Source organism: Homo sapiens, chromosome 9 (assembly GCF_000001405.40).
Source record: "Homo sapiens chromosome 9, GRCh38.p14 Primary Assembly".
NCBI classification, from domain to species: domain Eukaryota; kingdom Metazoa; phylum Chordata; class Mammalia; order Primates; family Hominidae; genus Homo; species Homo sapiens.
Window position 1 is genome coordinate 64785054 of NC_000009.12, and position 21791 is coordinate 64806844.

The window sequence follows — 21791 nt, forward strand, 5'->3', positions numbered from 1 at the left end:
TTCTTTTCTTTTTTCTCCTTCCTTCTTTCCTTCTTTCTTTCTTTCCTCTTATTCTTCCTTCCCTCCTCCCTCCCTTCCTTTCTCCCTCCCTTTTCTTCCTTCTTTTCTCGTATTCTTTCTTTCTTTCTCACGTTCTTGCTTTCTTTCCTTTTTTCTCCCTTCCTCCCGCCCTCCTTTTCTTCCTTCCTCCCTCCCTTCCTTTCCTCTTTTTCCTTCCTTCCTTCGCCTCTTTATTTTCTTTGTTTCTTTGCCTTCCTCCCTTTTACCATTCTCTCTTCCTCCTTTTCTTCCTCCCTTCCTCCTTTCTTTCTTTCTCTCTTTCTCTCTTTCTTTCTGTTTCTTTCTTTCTTTTCTTTCCTTCCCTCTTTCTTTCTTGTGTTCATGTTTTCTTTTTTCTCCCTTCCTGCCTTTCTCCCTTCCTCCCTCCCTCCCTTCCTTCCCTCATCTCCTCCTTCTTTTCTTTCTTCTTTATTTCCTTCCTTCTTTTTCTTTCTTTGTTTTCTTTTCTTTCTCTTTACTACAATTCATATTATTTTTAAAAAATTAAGAGAGGGAGACAGAAAAATAAAGAACGCTTTAATCTGCAGGTAAATAGATTATGTCTGCTGCAGGCAAAAGAATGGCCTCCCAAAAATTTTCATGTCCTAATTCCCAGAGTCTAACATACAAATATGTTAGGTTGCACGGCAGTGTGAAATTAGATTTCAAGTGAAATTAAGGTTGCGGAAAAATGATAGAGAGATTGTCTTAAATGGGTGGGATCAATGAAATCACAAACTTCCTTATAAGTGAAAGAAGAAGACAGAAGAAATGCAACCTTGGAGGTGGTGGCATGAGAAATTACTCAACATCACTGACTTTTAAGATACAAGAATGAGGACCCAGCGCGGTGGCTCACGCCTAATCCCAGCACTTTGGGAGGCTGGGGTGGGTGGATCACGAGGTCAGGAGATCGAGACCATCCTGGGTAACATGGTGAAACCCCATCCCTACTAAAAATACAAAAAATTAACTGGGCATGGTGGCAAGTGCCTGTAGTCCAAGCTACTCATGAAGCTGAGGCAGAAGAATCACTTGAACCTGGGAGGCAGAGGTTGCAGTGAGCTGAGATCATGCCACCGCACTCCAGCCTGGGTGACAGAAGGAGACTCTATCTCAAAAAAAAAAAAAAAAGAAAAATAGGATATAAGAATGAGGTCATGTTCCAAGGAATAAAGGTGGCCTCTGGATGCTGAAAAAAATCAAGTAATAGAGTCTGCCACATAGCCCTCAGAAAGACTGCAGCCCTGCCCAAAACTTGATGTTAGCCCTGTGAATTTCATTCAAGTCTTCTGAACTACAGAACTGTAGGATTAACGGTCACTTTATTGTAAGATATGAAGTTTGTGGTAATTGGTTACAGCAGCAAGAGGAAGTTTATATTATAATTGTATCATGAAAATGAGAACCATAATTTACAACTGCTTTTAATACTGCACTTGGATGTTTGAAATCACATACGTGGAAATGATTTCTGTGTGCATGAGGGAGGATAGCAAATTGATGCCAAAATAATGCAAATGCAAATCTTACACACATTTCTATGTAGGTTTCATTTAATCTTTGAAATTAAAATGAAATTAAAAGATTGTGATATTTTGATGAAATTAGACTAAAATGAACAATAACAAAATAAGAACTCACTTATATTCTTTATATGGTCAATAAAGAAGTGATAGTGGAAAAAAACAAGATCAAATGAAGGTGACGATTTAGGAAGTTGGAAAGATAGCTGAAACTACAAAATGGTATATAACCAGTGAACACTTAGACACACTGATTGATGAACTTCAGCTTTAGCTTGGTGAGAGCATAAAATGAGAGCAGCTGAGGTTTGCAAATTTGTAATCTCCTTGTGGAAAAACAGGGGAAAACACATCTCAGCCTAATAAGATTTATCTACTAAGGAGTCTAGACTTGGTCCATTTGTCCTTGTAATTCAAAAGCTAATTCAAATACTGATTTGATGTATTGTGTGAACAACCATTGCTGATTATCATCGCATATCTGGCATTCTCTTTTATCTGATATCTAAAATATTTGGTAATTCCTGGAATTTCTCTTTTCAAACCCAGTACAGTTTAATTTGAGTCTTAGAACAGTTGTCTTTGAGAAATTCTTCCCTCTACTGCATCTGTGAATGGGCATAGCATGGTTACATACATACTGTCACTCCATAGAACATTTGTTAAATTAAAGCCAAAGTTTAAAGCAACAGCTTTAACTCACTGGTTTTACTAATGTTTTCCTCCCCAATAGCCACAACAATATTGATACCCTCACACCTTTTAACATAAAGCTTGGTGTTGTCTATTTTTCAGGTGTTGTCATGTATATGATCTCAGTATTTTAAAAATCAGCTTCCGGCCCATATGGTGGTTCATGCTTGTAATACCAGCAGTTGAAGAGGCTGAAATGAGAGGATTCCTTGAGCCCAGGAGTTCAAAAGCAACCTGGGCAACATAGCAAGACCCAGTCTCTATCAAAAGTTAAAAAAATAAAAAGTGGGCATGGTGGTGTGCACCTGTTGTCCTAGCTATTTGGGAGGCCAAGGTGGAAGGATTGCTTGAGCTTGGGAGGTTGAGGCTGCAGTGAGCAGTGATTGCACCACTGCACTCCAGCCTGGGCAAAAAACCAAGACCCTATCTCAAAAAATATATATAATAAAAATAAAAATCAGCTCTCATTGATTTCTATGTAAATATGTACAGGTGATGTCCATATAGACATAAATAATAATATTTCTGACAATGGTTCCATATGATCTTCAACATGTAAAATGCTTATCTGTGTAATTGACTGGTTAGTCTCATTAATGAATATAGATTCAATTCTACTTTCTTGTTCTAGATAAATTATATAATCTAGCTTTTCATTTCACTTATTTACTGATAACAAGAGGAAGAATGACAAGATATCTATTTTGGAAAATTACTCTGGTAGGAGTAAAGATGAAACAATGATAGAATTGCACAGAAAACTAGAAAAAAGTATGGTCTTCTGATATTCTATCACATCACATACTAAAGGCCTCATAAAACTCAGATATTTTATCTAAAAATGTTATTTTCATCATAGGAATGATCAAAGCATGAGACTACAGTTGTATTAAAATGTGCTTGTATCACAAGCACGTGTGCTAAAAAGGAGGGGAAAACATCATTACTGATATTTTCAATGTATGTTTTACTTTTCATCAACATGAACCTCAACTTGATATGATGCAAATTGAAGGAAATCACCCATAATTCCATATGAAAAAGGCCTGTGATATTTTATGGGAAAATAAACAGAGAAAATGCTAACAGAAACCCTATTAAGCATGAAGCTTTATGGAGCAAACACAAATCCAGTGGTGAAAGATACACACTCGAGTTCTCTTTGTTGTCTTGGAACAATACGGTTTAGAGGTGACTGGCGGGTGAGGAGAACATATGCGAGTTCACCAAAGAGAAAAGCTGAATGAGGCAATGCCTCTTCCTGACCATATCTCTTACTCAGATAACTATATAATTTATTGTCCAGTAAAGGGAATATTAAAAAATCATATTAAAAGTTATGCAGTGAAGTTGTCCAGGGAAATCAAGACTTAACAGTCTCACTCTGACAATAATGAACAGGGGGATTCCCTCAAGATAGACTAGGACATGACCCCACACTGGCAGATAGTAGTACCAGAGAAGAACCCATGGAAAATCTTTACCTTATGCTTGAGGTAGGGACCAGGCTAAAGTGAAAGCCAGACATAAAATTCTATCTAAAATAAATCCACAATCGAAGAAAATATGTGGTGTACAGGCATAGAATGTCTTTACTGGATCATTGAAATAGTAAGATAAATTCAACTTTTTACATTGTTTTCTTTTCCTCCAGTTAGGGCTTGAGGTTTGTCTCTGGAGAGTGACTGTCAATTGGAGCCCTGCCTTTCTGGGGTTCTGGTCAGGGGGTTGTGGATGCTTAACATGTGCCTTTCACAGGACACTTCCTTACACCAGCAGTGGCCAGATGTGCATCCCACGACCAGGCCTCCCTCTCACAGAACATCTGTTGAGACTAGGAGATGCCTGGTGACTGTTGCCTGACCTGTGTCCTGTGTATTTCTGACAAGAGCCACTCTCAGAGACCCTGGCCAGGAGGAGAGTTAGGTTCCAGTGTAGGTCAGCTCAGACCCATGGAGGCCACAGAACCAAACATGGGAAATCACAGAAGTAGGTTTATTACTCACAGATCCAGAGAGAAGAGGGTAGCTGAGAAGAGGGTTTAGCTGTGTCCCCAGCCAAATCTCATCTTGAATTCCCACATGTTGTGGGAGGGAACAGGTGGGAGGTAATTGAATCATGGGGGCAGGTCTTTCCCATGCTGTTCTTCTGATAGTGAATAAGTCTCACAAGATCTGATGGTTTTATAAAGGGGAGTTTCCCTGCACAAGCTCTCTTGTCTTGTCTGCTGCCATGTGAGACTTGCCTTTCACCTTGCACCATGATTGTGAGGCCTACCCAGCCATGTGGAACTGTGCGTCTATTAAAACTCTGTCTTCTGGAAATTACACAGTCTTGGGCATGTCTTTACCAGCAGTGTGAAAACGGACTAATACAGTAGCACACCTCATAGGGCTGAACAAAATGGGGAAGATGAGTGGGGAGCAGGAGAGAGAAAAGGGGTCTGTGGGACTCCAGCCTTTATTCGGCCCAGAACATTACCCAAATAAGTTTTCCACGGGGCACTAGTCTGTGGGGTGAGTGCCAGCAGGCACATTTCTTGACTCCCGCTGCAACCGAGCAGGTCACTCTGGCGTGTGGGGTCTGTCCATGTGTGCTGTGAGGTCTGTGGGGTGAGTCAGGTAGGTTGTATCCAACGGTTCCATAGCTGGTAGTCACCAGGAGGAGGCAACTGTGTAGGGTCAATATCTAGGCCAGCCACACTGAGGAACTGTGAGGGTTAGAATTGGAAATTGTCAAGGGAATCTGAACCCAGCTACCATATGAGAGAGTTCAACTTATGTTCAATGTGAATGCCATGGCAATATTAAAAGGTAAGAATTCGCTCCATACGTGCTTGAGGTAAATAGGAGAAACCTAGAATTTATGTAAACAGTGAGAAGATTGGATGCGTTTTCCGTCACATATTTTAATACTAGCAGCATATTATATATGTCAATCCATCAGGCATTCAGAAATACATGCTTATGAAAATTTTTTGCACCATCAGACAAAAGACAAGGGTAGAAGACATTTGTAACCCTATAAACACTAGTAAATTAAAAACAGAAGAACCTTTATGTCCTAACATATCTGTGTTGTGAAAGGCTGCCCTGTGAAATACGGGATATCTTAAACATATTTTAAAAATCATAGGTGTCAATATTTTTTAGAAATCCATTTAAATTTTCTCTTGCTATTTTACAATGCCTATTTATTTATTTAGTGGCTCTGCTGATTTTGATGTATATCCTAAACTTTACATTTTCTTTAAAGGATATTTTATACAACTTTATGTAAAAGTTTCAGTATCTTCACATTCTCTCCCTGTCCTTTTGTTTTGCTCTTATATGGTGGTCTTGAGTCTTTTCTCTGGCTTTTCAAACCTAGTAAGACTAAGAAACTAAAGTAACTTTGCCCGTGGTTTGGTAATGCCTTCCAAAGCACATCCTAAGCTCTCGTGCATACAGGGGTCTCCTTTGAGCTCTGTGCTTTTGAGATCCCATATACCTAAATTCCAGTACTCCAAATCAGTACTGCTCAGTTTTAGTTACTAAGTTTAAAAATGTATTTCAATAGCAAGTTACTTTAGTGCACTCTTGCTTCTTTCTTGACTGCTTGTATACATGTATATTCCTTTAAATGAATCTTGGAATTTATTTAAAAATTTTAAATTATACTAATGAAACTGTATATTGTTGTGAATTCATAAGTGAATTTGGAAATAATTTGTCTTTATGATACTAAATCCTTTTTATCCAAGAATAATATGTGTCTTTATATTTATTCCAGTCTATATTTATATCACTGAGTAAATATATAGAAATGTAGATACATACAGCTGTAGTTATAGATACAAATATAGATATAACATGTTAAATCTATATCTATCCCATATAACATATATACATGCTATATATGTGTGTGTGTATATATATATGTTTATGTTATTAAAGAGCTCCCTTAAAATTTTTCTTTTATTTCCTATATAATTTTAGGTCGAGCTTGAATTTTCCTTGTATAAACAAGCAAATATTTATACTAGTTTTAATACTGATGTTTAGACATTGTATCTTATTTTAGCATTGAATATTTTCACAATTATCATAAATATTATCTAATATTAATAATGTACCTGTTAAAAATATTTAAAATTTTACCTTTGAATTATTTTATTGTTGAATTAAAATTCCTTTAATATGACAGTAAATTTCTATTTTATGCTTTCTCTATGCATATGCAAATTAATCTATCCACTTCTCTATCTCTATGTAGTAACATATGAAAATCAGGCCTCTCTTCTAATGGACATACACATGTTTGCATATAGAATATCAGACTCTTTACAGCATTTAAAATCTTTACAGACATGAATATTGCCTTTTAACAAATATATTTTAGCATGTACTGAGAATCCCCTATTTATTTTTAATTTGGGCTAATCAATATTATTATTAATATTATTGGATTACCAAATTTGGAAACACACTTTCATCCCCAAGGTGGATATTTGTTTTATTTTTTTTGCCAATTTCTTGTCTTACTGTTTCAAACATTGTTGGATATTATTTTTATTTTATTTGGCATTTTAGTATCAACATTTGTAATTGATGTACTCTACATATTTTTTCTTCAATATCTGGTGGGTTTTATAATTACTGCTACATTGGATTTGTAGTAGACATTGACAAAAATTGTTCCTGTATGTTTCATAGCTGTATGAAGGAAACTAATATATTTTACCCCTAAATATATTTCCTTGATATATTTCAAAATGGCTATTGAGAAGGGCTGGGAATGCAAACTTAGCTGCAAAGCTGTCTTGGGGAGATTTGCATCGGTAGAGAATCTGCCTTGATGCAGCCAGGCTTTCTCTGAGGTCTGCCCCCTTGTCTGGATCTAGGAAAGGTTAACTGAGCATCTGAGGTCTCCAAAGGTCTGAAAGAAACATTTTCTGTCTATTCTCTCTGAGGACTGCTCCCAGTGAGGTTTCACCTATGTAATAAGTCCACTGTTGCTAGCCAGGGTCGTTTTCTCACATAACCTTTTTTTTTTTCCTGTGATCCAAGACCCCATTCTTTCTGTAAACTTCATGTGGTAGATAAGCTTCTGCACGCATCGTGTGTCTGGGTCTTCGTTCTAAGGGCTCCAGTGTACACACATTGCAGAAACCTTTATGCCTTTTCTACTATTTATCTGCCTCCTATTAGTGATTTTCAGGGAAACTTCAGAAGGCAAAAGGGACATTCTCCTTTAGCCCATTCTCAGACAAAATCCCAAAACATTTAACTGATTCCTAATAGCTTAAAATCACTCTGACAAATCCATATATTTATAACCTTTTCTTCCCTCTATGATTTCTGTTCAGCTTGGGTTTTGTTTTTCATTCCATTTACTTCATCCTCGAAAAGATCTCTTTTACGTCTATTTATTCTCATTTATGGACATTGAGAAAAGAAAATAACTTTCATGTGAGAAATGCAAGTCCTTTTAAATAATCAGGCCCAGAGAGATATTCAAATGAGACAGCAGTTCTGTCCTGCTCCTCTTTGAGCTGTGTGTTCATCTAGGCTGCTTGCTGTTGCCACAGTAGCTATTAATTAACCAATAACGCCACACCAGATAGTATAATCCACACCCAATAATAGTGTAACAGTGTATAGCCAGTCACTAATAAATGCTATTTCCATAAGCCAATGAGAATTTGTGACAAACCTATTTGCATCATCCCACTTCTGGACGCTTTTTTGCCTTTAAGAAACTGCTTGTTGCAAAGCTCCAAAGGGAGTTCATATCCAAGGATACTTGGGTCTGTTTCTTCCAGGCAGCTGTCCTCATTTTGGCTCAAGTAAACTCTTTGAATTACATTTTGTGCTTCAGCCCCTTCCACTTAGATTAACAACATGGATTTGTGTCACCATGTACGGCAATTAAAATGTTCACACTTTTCCCCCCAAGGGCACTGATGTGTTTTCCTGAGCACTTGGAATAGCTACGTAGTGTTTACTGTCTAGATTATGGTTTCTCAACCTTGGTGCTACTTACCTTTAGGACCAGAGGATTCTTTGCTGTGGGAGGCTGCCCTAGCAATGCTAGGTGTTTCGTTTGACCTCTAAATTTCACACCTCCACCAGTCTTGACATCCCCACAATAACACTAGACATTGACAAATGTCTCCTGGGGAAAACTCTCCACCAGTTGACAGGGAAAGTTCTGGAAATATTGGAATTGTCAATTGAGATTTTATGTTATCCAAAACAAGTATTTTTCTTTGTTTTCAAACATCTACTTCCATCTACTTATCTATTTATTTTTTACTTTTATTTGTAACTTAATTCCATCAAGGAGAGAGAGTTCATTTTCTGTTATGCTAAATTTTTGAAGAATGTATTGATTTTTTTATGACATGATATATGGATGATATGTAGATATTACATGTTTGTATTATCAAATTTCAGGGCGATAATAAAATAAATACTTATAATATTTATATTGTCACTGTATATTAGTTATTTTCTTCCTTCACTACAGGAGTTTTTCAACCTATAGGCTATTTTTCAATTCTAGGTTATCCAATAGATTTTGAAACGTTATGATTAAATATCTACTTCTCAAGCATTCATCTTTGCAAATGAAACAATCCCAAGCTCTTATAATGCACATCATATAAAGGGCAGATTAGTCAATATATGGTTCAGAAATAATTATGTAATATTTATAAGAATATTAAAAATTTACATCCTTAACTCAGATAACAATAATCCAAATTAAAATTTGATTTCATTACATAATTTAAAATGACACCAGAATACTAGTAAAAATGTAGATAAGTTTATATAATCTTTTTTAGCTGTAGGACTTTATTAGCATAAATTCAAATACAGGAACCAAAGTAAGATTGAGACCTATAGTCAAAGGTTAAAATGTACACATTATAGGGCCATGATTAAACTAATTTAAAGCATGATAACATGGAGAAATATTGCAAAACATACATTTTACTGAATTAATTGTTAATATCTAATCATTATGTGAGAACAAAATTAAAGAGTAGCTACACACGCACACACCCACACACAAGTGCAATATTGTCAAATAAACGATGTTCAGTTACACTAGAAATCACACCTGTGTTTCCTCCACAAAAAAGATTAAAAATCACAATAATATTTATTGTACATATGGAGGTAAAGATACTGAAAATATTACCCTAAAATACATTGTTTTTTGAGATGGAGTTTTGCTTTTATTGCCCAGGCTAGAGTGCAATGGCACAATCTTGGCTCACTGCAACCTCAGCCTCCCAGGATCAAGTTATTCTCCTAGCTCAGCCTCCCAAGTAGCTGAGATTACAGGCATGCACCACCACACTCGGCTAATTTTTTGTATTTAGTAGAGACGGGGTTTCACCACGTTGGTCAGGCTGGTCTCCAACTCCTGACTTCAGGTGATCTACCCACTTCAGCCTCCCAAAGTGCTGGGATTACAGGCGTGCGCCTGGGCAGCTTTTTGACATATTTCAAGATGGCTACTCGGAAGACTGGAGATAGCTTCTTCTACAAGAATAGCTGAAAAGCTGTGTTTGTTGGGGAGATTTGCATTTGTAGAGAATATCTGCGTTGATATAGACAGTCTTTTCCTGAGATACTCCCTTGTGTGGGTTTAGGAAAGATTAACTGAGCCTGGCACGTTTACATTTCTAAAAACCATTTCCTATCTATACTTCCCAAGAGGAGGGCTGCTCCCTGTGAGGTTTCATCCATGGAACAAGACCACCTCTGCTACCAGGCTCCTCTTTCTTCCTTGTCATCACCTGTCTTCCACAAAGCCTGATTTACCAACCTACAGCTCTGTGTTTTTCTGTAACCTCAAGATGGCATAGGCGTGTTGACTACCTTGCCTTTCCTGGAGTTTTTATATATATAGTATATATTTGTATATCTATTTATAATATACAAATATGTGTATAGATATATTCATATATATTATGTAAACTCCAAGTGCATACTTGTGCACATATCTGTAAACCTTTTTTTCCTGTTAATTTGTACATTTTTGGTTTGTTTTATAGACTCAAATAATTAAAGCTTCAAGGGAAAAATTTAAACTTTCCTATAGAGAAAAGACATATATATATGTGAAAAATAATATTTAGAGTGTAAGACGCTTTTTAAAGGTATATTTGCAATTTGTGTCAAAACATTTAAATATACATTTGTTACTTTAACTGTAAAATTTCAAATAATTTAAGCTAAATACATAGTATATGCAGAAAATTTAGCAATATTTGTATGTAGCACCTTACTGTGCATTACTGTAACCAGCTGTCTAGTATAAAGAACTAATTAAGGTAGCACCTACTTTTCAAATATCGCATTTTTTCACAGACCTATTAAATAAGACAAATAACATTTAAACTTTATTTTTAAATTTGCAGAATAGTATTTTTCCAGCAGATGGTTTATTTTAGCAAATTCCATCTTCACATTGTGCTATGCTTTTATGAGTTCCAGCTGTTAACAGATAATATTTTACTGCTGAATCTATCATGTGTGATATAATTGCTCATTATGTACCTTAAAACACAAGCAATATAGTTATTTTCAACTTGGAGCAAATTAAAATCTTATCAGCAATTTAAAAACTCTAGAGTCGTCTTCTTCTGGTTAATTATTTTAAACTTGTATTTTTCTCTTTATGTTTTTAGTAAGTTGTCTTATCAAGGAGAAGAACTCAAGCTGATTATTCTTTTTTTTCTCTTCCATCCACCTCGCTGGTGTGTGAATAATTTCATTTCTCAGAAAGTGTTCTTTCATATCCATCTTACAAGATGAGAGGCCTTTTAACATCTTCCATTCATATATGATACAAGTAATGGAAAATATTCCAGCTTCATGAATATGGTGATACAAATAGTTATCCGTCTAACCTCTGTCAGTGCCAAATGTTTACTCAGTGAATTACTCAGCTGACTGGTAATTTCTTCTGAAATCACTAATGAGAGGATCAGAGGTCTGGCTGTTGTCTGTACCTCGTACGACTCCCAGTGCAGACAATTGTTTCTATGGAGCACAGACAGTTGAATGGATTGACTTCCTGCCTAGAATAGCTTCTGCTGTGCTTCTTATCCTTCTTGTGGAGATTTCAGATTGTCTGAATTGCTTTTCTATCTTAAGAAAAAACTCAACAATTTTCCCACCTGAGAGGAATGTATACTGTAGTAAGTTAGAAGAAGCAATCCGTAAAGTTTTTACATTGTTTGTTGTAAAATGCAGCGTTGGTGTCTCCATCACTAACCTTTTCTATCCCTCATTGCTCTTTCTTTGACTGCAATAGGATACCTCTAGGCAAATCTGTATTCCCGAAACAGAGTGCCCTTTCCGTTAGCTATAAGTACACTCAATGGTAGGCTGAAATACTAGTTTTTATCTATGGCGAAATGGAATCATATCAGTGATTTTCTTTAAAAGGAAATTTAACTCTTGCTATGGTTTGAATGATTGCCCCTTCCAAATCTCACGTTAAAATTTGATCCCCAATGTTGGAAGTGGGGCTTACTGGGAGGTGTTGTGTCATGGGGATGGACTTTCATGAATGGATAATACCCTCCCTTAGGAATCTCAAGCTATCCTCCCTCCTCGGTGCCCTCAGGAATGAGTGTACCATTCTTTATTCAACTATAATTCCCCCACCCATCCTTTTTGAGATATTAATTACATGTATGTTACACTGCTGCATATTGTCTCACGTATCAGTGAGTTTCTGGCTTTCTTATTTTAGTTTACCCTTTGTCCTTTAGTTTGGAAAGCTTCTATTTTTTTCTATAAATTTTCTGATGTTAGGGTAAAATCCATAACTTATTCTATCTCATGGAATTTTTATTTCAAATGTTTATTTTTCATCTATACATGTCACATTTTTCATTTTATAACTTCTATTTTTCTCCTATGATCAATTTTCATTTAAGTACTTTGACATATATATGTATTTATCTATATGTATTTATAAAATATATTTACTTTAAGGGCCTTGAAAATTCCTTCTTCTCTGTCATTTATAAACGACTTATTTTTATCCTGTTAATATATATCTTAATAATATATATCTTCCGGCTTCTTTGCATGTCAGAGTTTTTTTGGGGGGGGGGTATTTTGATGTTATGCTATTGAATATCTAGATTTTATTGGCTACCTTTGAACAATGTTGTGGCAGGCAGTTCAGTAACTTCAGGATGAGTATTTTTCTGTTGTTGTTTTAAATCTTCTCTTTAAACTTTGTGGAGTTAGTCTAGAGCCATCTGTAATTTGGAGCTAAATGAGCACTGTCACTGGGGCATGAACCTCCAGTGGTCTTTACTGAATATCCTGGAGGTACAGAGGGGATTCCCATCTCTGGCTGGTCAGAGCTAACATGTCTTCCTTTCATGTGATGCCAGGGAAGTGTTCTTCCAACTCCGTGGTAGAGTCTTTTGCTGAGCTCCTTAGAATTTCATCCTATGTACCTTTGACTTAGGGACTTGGGAGAAACCTTAGGCTGATTATTGGTTCCTTTTTCTGTAAACGTTCTCTTCTACTACACATTCCAGCTGCTTAACCTTTTTTGATTTTTATCTGGTTCCTCAGTGCAATGACAATGTCTGCTCTCTCTGGGATTCCTCTCTACTGCTGTCACGGAGAACCTGGGAATAAAGCAGGACTCATTCTGGCTCCTTCTCTTCTCTTGCGGAGCACAGTACTGTGCTGCCTGATGTTCAGTACTTCAAAAAAAGTTTCATATATTTTGTCCAGTTTACTATTCTTTAACTCTAAAAGAGTACCTCCAGTCCCAGTTACAGTATCATGTTCTGTAACTCTACTCCTTGTTGCTTCATTCTGCCATTGTCTGGTATGATCGCCCCTTTCCCTTCTGTAATCAGGCCAAGAGCATAATATAATACTAGTTAGTTATAACTGCACAGCTTGCTTCCGTTGTGTAAAAAAATCACTGAGACTTAACTGTGTCCAACTTTTAAAATGTGAATATAAGTACAACTAAAGCTATATTTTGGTTAATATTTGCATTGCATGCTTTTCCATTATTTAGTTTCAACATATGTGAAATATAAATATAAATTATAAAAACTTTAAGAGAGTCCATTGAAAAATCTGGTCTGAGTATGTTTTAACTGGTTTATTATAACGTGCATTCTCGAATTCAGGGTCTAATATAATTGGTACGTTTATCTATTTGCAAAAAAACTTGACAATATTTTTAAATTAATTTATCCAACTCACAACTTATATGCTTCTGCTGTTGTATGGAAGATACATTTTAAACTTTATGAGATAGCATTCTGTTATACCGTCGATATCCAATTAAATTTCTCTCTGTGTTTACTTCTTTCATTAAAAAAAAAGCGTTCTTCTAACTGCAAACTTTCATCAGGGATCATGGCTCTTCTACCTGAAGAATAATCTTTACTATTTCCTTTCCTGTGGGTCTGCTTGGGAGAAATTCTTTATTGTATCTTTGTTTTTGATGGACATGTCCACCAAGTAGACAGTTCTAGGTCAGCACTTATTTTATTTCAGGACTTGAAAGGTATCAATACCTCACTTGTTGGCTTTCATTGTTTCATTTGACACGGTTGTTATCAGTCAACTCTTTCTGTTTATAGTTAGCCCAATTTTTTTATCAAGTGCTCTTGACATTTTTCTTTTACTTTTCAGAAATTGTCCCATTATGTTTCTAGGTGTGTCCTCTGTGTGTGTTTTCTTTTGGTTTGCAAAGCCTCCTGAACCTGTGGTTTAATATTATTGGTCAATTTTGATAAAACCTCTAACATTGCCACTTAAAATGCTGTTCAGACCAGCTGTTTTCTCCTTCTTAGATTTCAACGTGTTAGATTATTACTGTATGCTTTATATTTTTTAAATGACCTTTCTCTACTTTTTTTTAGTTGGTTAATCTGTATTAGTGTATATTTTGCTTTTTTATTTTATTTTATTTTATTATTATACTTAAAGTTTTAGGATACATGTGCATAATGTGCAGGTTTGTAACGTAAGTATTCATGTGCCATGTTGGTGTGCTGCACCCATTAACTCGTCATTTAGCATTAGGAATATCTCCTAATGTTATCCCTCCCCCTCCCCCCACCACACAACAGTCCCCGAAGTGTGATGTTCCCCTTCCTGTGTCCATGTGTTCTCATTGTTCAATTCCCAACTATGAGTGAGAATATGCGGTGTTTGCTTTTTTGTCCTTGTGATAGTTTACTGAGAATGATGATTTCCAGTTTCATCCATGTCCCTACAAAGGACATGAACTCATCATTTTTTATGGCTGCATAGTATTCCATGGTTTATATGTGCCACATTTTCTTAATCCAGTCTATCGTTGTTGGACATTTGGGTTGGTTCCAAGTCTTTGCTATTGTGAATACTGCCGCAATAAACATACTTGTGCATGTGTCTTTATAGCAGCATGATTTATAGTCTTTTGGGTATATACCCAGTAATGGGATGGCTGGGTCAAATGGTATTTCTAGTTCTAGATCCCTGAGGAATCGCCACACTGACTTCCACAATGGTTGAACTAGTTTACAGTCCCACCAACAGTGTAAAAGTGTTCCTGTTTCTCCACATCCTCTCCAGCACCTGTTGTTTCCTGACTTTTTAATAATCGACTTTCTAACTGGTGTGAGATGGTATCTCATTGTGGTTTTGATTTGCATTTCTCTGATGGCCAGTGATGATGAGTATTTTTTCATGTGTTTTTTGGCTGCATAAATGTCTTCTTTTGAGAAGTGTCTGTTCCTGTCTTTCACCCACTTTTTCATGGGATTGTTTGTTTTTTTCTTGTAAATTTGTTTGAGTTCATTGTAGATTCTGGATATTAGCCCTTTGTCAGATGAGTAGGTTGCAAAAATTTTCTCCCATTTTGTAGGTTGCCTGTTCACTCTGGTGGTAGTTTCTTTTGCTGTGCAGAAGCTCTTTAGTTTAATTAGATCCCATTTGTCAATTTTGGCTTTTGTTGCCATTGCTTTTGGTGTTTTAGACATGAAGTACTTTCCCATGCCTATGTCCTGAGTAGTATTGCCTAGGTTTTCTTCTAGGGTTTTTATGGTTTTAGGTCTAACATGTAAGTATTTCATCCATCTTGAATTAATTTTTGTATAAGGTGTAAGGAAGGGATCCAGTTTCAGCTTTCTACATATGGCTAGCCAGTTTTCCCAGCACCATTTATTAAATAGGGAATCTTTCCTCATTGCTTGTTTTTCTCAGGTTTGTCAAAGATCAGATAGTTGTAGTTATGTGGCATTATTTCTGAGGGCTCTGTTCGGTTCCATTGATCTATGTCTCCATTTTGGTACCAGTACCATGTTGTTTTGATTACTGTAGCCTTGTAGTATAGTTTGAAGTCAGGTAGCGTGATGCCTCCAGCTTTGTTCTTTTGGCTTAGGATTGACTTGGCGATGCAGGCTGTTTTTTGGTTCCATATGAACTTTAAAGTTGTTTTTTTCAATTCTGTGAAGAAAGTCATTGGTAGCTTGATGGGGATGGCACTGAATCTATAAATTACCTTGGGCAGTATGGCCATTTTCATGATATTGATTCTTCCAACCCATGAGCATGGAATGTTCTTCCATTTGTTTGTATCCTCTTTTATTTCATTGAGCAGTGGTTTGTTGTTCTCAATGAAGAGGTATTTCACGTCCCTTGTAAGTTGGATTCCTAGGTATTTTTCTCTCTTTGAAGCAATTGTGAATGGGAGTTCGCTCATGATTTGGCACTCTATTTGTTGTTGGTGTATAAGAATGCTTGTGATGTTTGTAAATTGATTTTTTATCCTGAGACTGCTGAAGTTGCTCATCAGCTTAAGGAGATTTTGGGCTGAGACAATGGGGTTTTCTAGATATACAATCAAGTCATCTGCAAACAGGGACAATTTGACTTCCTCTTTTCCTAATTGAATACCCTTTGTTTCCTTCTCCTGCCTGATTGCCCTGGCCAGAACTTCCAACACTATGTGGAATAGGAGTGGTGAGAGAGGGCAACCCTGTCTTGTGCCAGTTTTCAAAGGGAATGCTTCCAGTTTTTGCCCATTCAGTATGATATTGGCTGTGGGTTTGTCATAGATAGCTCTTATTATTTTGAAATACATCCCATCAATACCTAATTTATTGAGAGTTTTTAGCATGAAGGGTTGTTGAATTTTGTCAAAGGCCTTTTCTGCATCTATTGAGATAATCATGTGGTTTTTGTCTTTGGCTCTGTTTATATGCTGGATTACATTTATTGATTTGCGTATATTGAACCAGCCTTGCATCCCAGGGATGAAACCCACTTGATCATGGTGGATAAGCTTTTTGATGTGCTGTTGGATTCGGTTTGCCAGTATTTTATTGAGGATTTTTGCATCAATGTTCATCAAGGATATTGGTCTAAAATTCTCTTTTTTGGTTGTGTCTCTGCCCGGCTTTGGTATCAGGATGATGCTGGCCTCATAAAATGAGTTAGGGAGGACTCCCTCTTTTTCTATTGATTGGAATAGTTTCAGAAGGAATGGTACCAGTTCCTCCTTGTACCTCTGGTAGAATTCGGCTGTGAATCCATCTGGTCCTGGACTCTTTTTGTTGGTAAGCTATTGATTATTGCCACAATTTCAGATCCTGTTATTGGTCTATTCAGAGATTCAACTTCTTCCTGGTTTAGCCTTGGGACAGTGTATGTGTTGAGGAATTTATCCATTTCTTCTAGATTTTCTAGTTTATTTGCGTAGAGGTGTTTGTAGTATTCTCTGATGGTAGATTGTATTTCTGTGGGATCAGTGCTGATAACCCCTTTATCATTTTTTATTGCGTCTATTTGATTCTTCTCTCTTATCTTCTTTATTAGTCTTGCTAGTGATCTATCAATTTTGTTGATCTTTTCAAAAAACCAGCTCCTGTATTTCCTTCAATTCTGCTCGATTTTAGTTATTTCTTGCCTTCTGCTAGCTTTTGAATGTGTTTGCTCTTGCTTTTCTAGTTCCTTTAATTGTCATGTTAGGGTGTCAATTTTGGATCTTTCCTGCTTTCTCTTGTTGGCATTTAGTGCTATAAATTTCCCTCTAAACACTGCTTTGAATGTGTCCCAGAGATTCTGGTATGTTGTGTCTTTGTTCTCGTTGGTTTCAAAGAACATCTTTATTTCTGCCTTCATTTCGTTATGTACCCAGTAGTCATTCCGGAGCAGGTTGTTCGTTTTCCATGTAGTTGAGCGGTCTTGAGTGAGTTTGTTAATCCTGGATTCTAGTTTGATTGCACTGTGGTCTGAGAGACAGTTTGTTATGATTTCTTTTCTTTTACATTTGCTGAGTAGAGATTTACTTCCAAGTATGTGGTCAATTTTGGAATAGGTGTGTTGTGGTGCTGAGAAGAATGTATATTCTGTTGGATTTGGGGTGGAGAGTTCTGTAGATGTCTATTAGATCCGCTTAGTGCAGAGCTGAGTTCAATTCCTGTGTACCCTTGTTAACTTTCTGTTTCATTTATCTGTCTAATGTTGACAGTGGGTTGTTAAAATCTCTCATTATTATTGTGTGGGAGTCTAAGTCTCTTTGTAGGTCACTCAGGACTTGCTTTATGAATCTGGGTGCTCCTATATTGGGTGCATATATATTTAAGATAGTTAGCTCTTCTTGTTGAATTGGTCCCTTTACCATTATGTAGTGGCCTTCTTTGTCTCTTTAGATCTTTGTTGGTTTAAAGTGTGTTTTATCAGAGACTAGGATTGCAACCCCTGTCTTTTTTTGTTTTCCATTTGCTTAGTAGATCTTCTTCCATCCTTCTATTTTGAGCCTATGTGTGTCTCTGCACATGAGATGGGTTCCTGAATACAGCACATTGATAAGTCATGACTCTTTATCCAATTTGCCAGTCTGTGTCTTTTAATTGGAGCATTCAGTCCATTTACGCTTAAAGTTAATATTGTTATGTGTGAATTTGATCCTGTCATTATGATGCTAGCTGGTTATTTTGCTCGTTAGTTGATGCAGTTTCTTCCTAGTCTCGATGATCTTTACATTTTGGCATGATTTTGCAGAGGCTGATACCGGTTGTTCCTTTCCATGTTTAGTACTTCCTTCAGGAGCTCTTTTAGGGCAGGCCTGGTGGTGACAAAATCTCTCAGCATTTGCTTGTCTGTAAAGGATTTTATTTCTCCTTCACTTATGAAGCTTAGTTTGGCTGGATATGAAATTCTGGGCTGAAAATTCTTTTCTTTAAGAATGTTGAATATTGGCCCCCACTCTCTTCTGGCTTCTAGAGTTTCTGCCAAGAGATCTGCTGTTAGTCTGATGGTCTTCCCTTTGTGGGTAATCCGACCTTTCTCTCTGGCTGCCCTTAACATTTTTTCCTTCCTTTCAACTTTGGTGAATCTGACAATTATGTGTCTTGGAGTTGCTCTTCTCGAGGAGTATCTTTGTGGTGTTGTCTGTATTTCCTGAATCTGAATGTTGGCCTGCCTTGCTAGATTGGGGAAGTTCTCCTGGATAATATCCTGCAGAGTGTTTTCCAACTTGGTTCCATTCTCCCCATCACTTTCAGGTACACCCATCAGATGGAGAGTTGGTCTTTTCACATAGTCCCATATTTCTTGGAGGTTTGTTCATTTCATTTTATTATTTTTTCTCTAAACTTCCCTTCTCACTTCATTTCATTCATTTCTTCTTCCATCACTTATACCCTTTCTTCCAGTTGATCGCATTGGCTCCTGAGGCTTCCACATTCTTCATGTAGTTCTCGAGCCTTGGCTTTCAGCTCCATCAGCTCCTTTCAGTACTTCTCTTTATTGGTTATTCTAGATATACATTCTTCTAAATTTTTTTCAAAGTTTTTAACTTCTTTGCCTTTGGTTTGAATTTCCTCCTGTAGCTTGGAGCAGTTTGATCGTCTGAAGCCTTTTTCTCTCAACTCATCAAAGTCATTCTCTGCCCAGCTTTTTTCCATTGCTGGTGAGGAACTGTGTTCCTTTTTAGGAGGAGAGGTGCTCTACTTTTTAGAATTTCCAGGTTTTCTGCTCTGTTTTTTCCCCATCTTTGTGGTTGTATCTAGTTTTGGTCTTTGATGATGGTGATGTACAGATGGGTTTTTGGTGTGGATGTCCTTTCTCTTTGTAAGTTTTCCTTCTAACAGACAGGAACCTCAGCTGCAGGTCTGTTGGAGTTTGCTAGACGTCCACTGCAGACCCTGTTTGCCTGGGTATCAGCAGCAGTGGCTGCAGAACAGCAGATTTTCATGAACCGCAAATGTTGCTGTCTGATCATTCCTCTGGAAGTTTTGTCTCAGAGGAGTACCCAGCCGTGTGAGGTGTCATTCTGCCCGTACTGGGGATTGCCTCCCAGTTAGGCTGCTTGGGGGTCAGGGGTCAGGGACCCACTTGAGGAGGCAGTCTGCCCATTCTCAGGTCTCCAGCTGCGTGCTGGAAGAACCACTGCTCTCTTCAAAACTGTCAGACAGGGACATTTAAGTCTGCAGAGGTTACTGCTGTCTTTTTGTTTGTCTGTGCCCTGCCCCCAGAGGTGGAGCCTAAAGAGGCAGGCAGGCCTCCTTGAGCTGTGGTGGGCTCCACCCAGTTCGAGTTCCTGGCTGCTTTGTTTACTTATGCAAGCCTGGGCAATGGCAAGCGACCCTCTCCAAGCCTCTCTGCCACCTTGCAGTTTGATCTCAGACTGCTGTGCTAGCAATCAGTGAGACTCCATGGGCGTAGCACCCTCTGAGCCATGTGCGGGATATAATCTCCTGGTGCACCATTTGTTAGGACCCTTGGAAAAGTGCAGTATTAGGGTGGGAGTGACCCGATTTTCCAGGTGCCGTCTCTCACCCCTTTCTTTGACTAGGAAAGGGAACTCCCTGACCTCTTGTGCTTCCCGAGTGAGGCAATGCCTCACCCTGGTTCAGCTCACGCACTGTGCACTGCACCCACTGTCCTGCATCCTCTGTCTGGCACTCCCTAGTGAGATGAACCTGGTACCTGAGATGGAAATGCAGAAATCACCCATCTTCTGCGTTGCTGATGCTTGGAGCTGTAGACCGGAGCTGTTCCTATTTGGTCATCTTGGCTACCCTTGGTAGTTTCTTTTCCCTCTGCTTCTGGTTCTGAGAGTTTGTCACTAACATAGGATTCCAGAACACTGCTGCAGGGTCCTAAGTGATTGTCCCTCACATGGGATTCGAAAACAGTCCTGCTGGGTTCAGAGTGTTATCCCTCACATATGATTCCAGAACACTGCTACGAGGTTCTGAATGTTTGTCCCTCACAAAGGATTCCAGAACACTGCTGCTGGGTTCTGAGTGTTTGTCCCTCACATAGGATTCCAGAACACTGCTGCTGGGCTCTGAGTGTTTGTCCCTCACATAGGATTCTAGAACACTGCTGCAGCTTTCTTAGTGTTTGTCTCTCACATAGGATTCCAGAACACTGCTATGAGGATCTGAATGTTTGTCCCTCACAAAGGTTTCCAGAATGTTGCTGCTGGGTTCTGAGTGTTTGTCCCTCACATAGGATTCCAGAACTCTGTTGCTGGGTTCTGTTTGTTTGTCCCTCACAAAGGGATCCAGAGCACTGCTGCAGGTTTCTGAGTGTTTGACCCTCACATAGGATTCCAGAACACTGCTGTGGCTTTCCGAGTGTTTGTCCCTCACATAGGATTCCAGAACAGTGCTGCTGGGTTCTAAGTGTTTGTCCCTCACATAGGATTCCAGAACACTGCTGCTGCATTCTGAGTGTTTGTCCCTCACATAGGATTCCAGAACACTGCTACGATTGTCTGAATGTTTGTCCCTCACAAATTATTCCAGAGTACTGCTGCTGGGTTCTGAGTGTTTGTCCCTCACATAGGATTCCAGAACAGTGCTGCTGGGTTATGAGCGTTTGTCCCTCACATAGGATTCCAGAACACTGATACTAAGGTCTGAATGTTTGTCCCTCAGATAAGATTACAGAACACATCTACGAGGGTCTGTATGATTGTCCCTCACATAGGATTCCAGAACACAGTGGCTGGGTTCTGAGTGTTTGTCCCTCATATAGAATTTCAGAACACTGCTACAAATTTCTGAACGTTTGTCGCTCACAGAGGATTCCAGAACACTGTGGCTGGGTTGTGTTTGCCCCCCACATAGGATTCCAGAATACTGCTGCTGGGTTCTGAGTGTTTGTCCCTCACGTAGGATTCCAGAACACTGCTATGAGGGTCTGAATATTTTTGCCTCTCAAAGGATTCCAGAACACTGCTGCTCAGTTGTGTTTGTTTGTCCCTCACAAGGGACTCCAGTGCACTGCTGCAGGTTTCTGAGAGTTTTTCCCTCACATAGGATTCCAGAACACTTCTACGAGGGTCTGAATGTTTGTATCTCACAGTGGAATCTACAAAACTGCTGCAGGGTTCTGAGTGTTTCTCACTCATATAGGATTACAGAACACTGCTGCTGGGTTCTGAGAGTTTATCCCTCACATGGGATTCCAGAACACAGCTGCTGGCTTCTGAGTGTTTGTCCCTCACATAGGATTGCAGAACACTGCTACGAGG

General features: G+C 38.1%; 1 pseudogene across 1 annotated transcript in view; it reads right to left on the reverse strand.

Moving 5' to 3' along the window:
- Positions 1-1347: 1347 nt before the first annotated feature.
- Positions 1348-21791, reverse strand: part of LOC100132154 (ankyrin repeat domain 30B pseudogene) — a 102646-nt pseudogene continuing 82202 nt past the window's right edge. The window contains exon 7 of the transcript XR_007061544.1: positions 1348-4968. The product of XR_007061544.1 is annotated as an ankyrin repeat domain 30B pseudogene, transcript variant X1 (transcript). The remainder of the gene's footprint in view (positions 4969-21791) is intronic.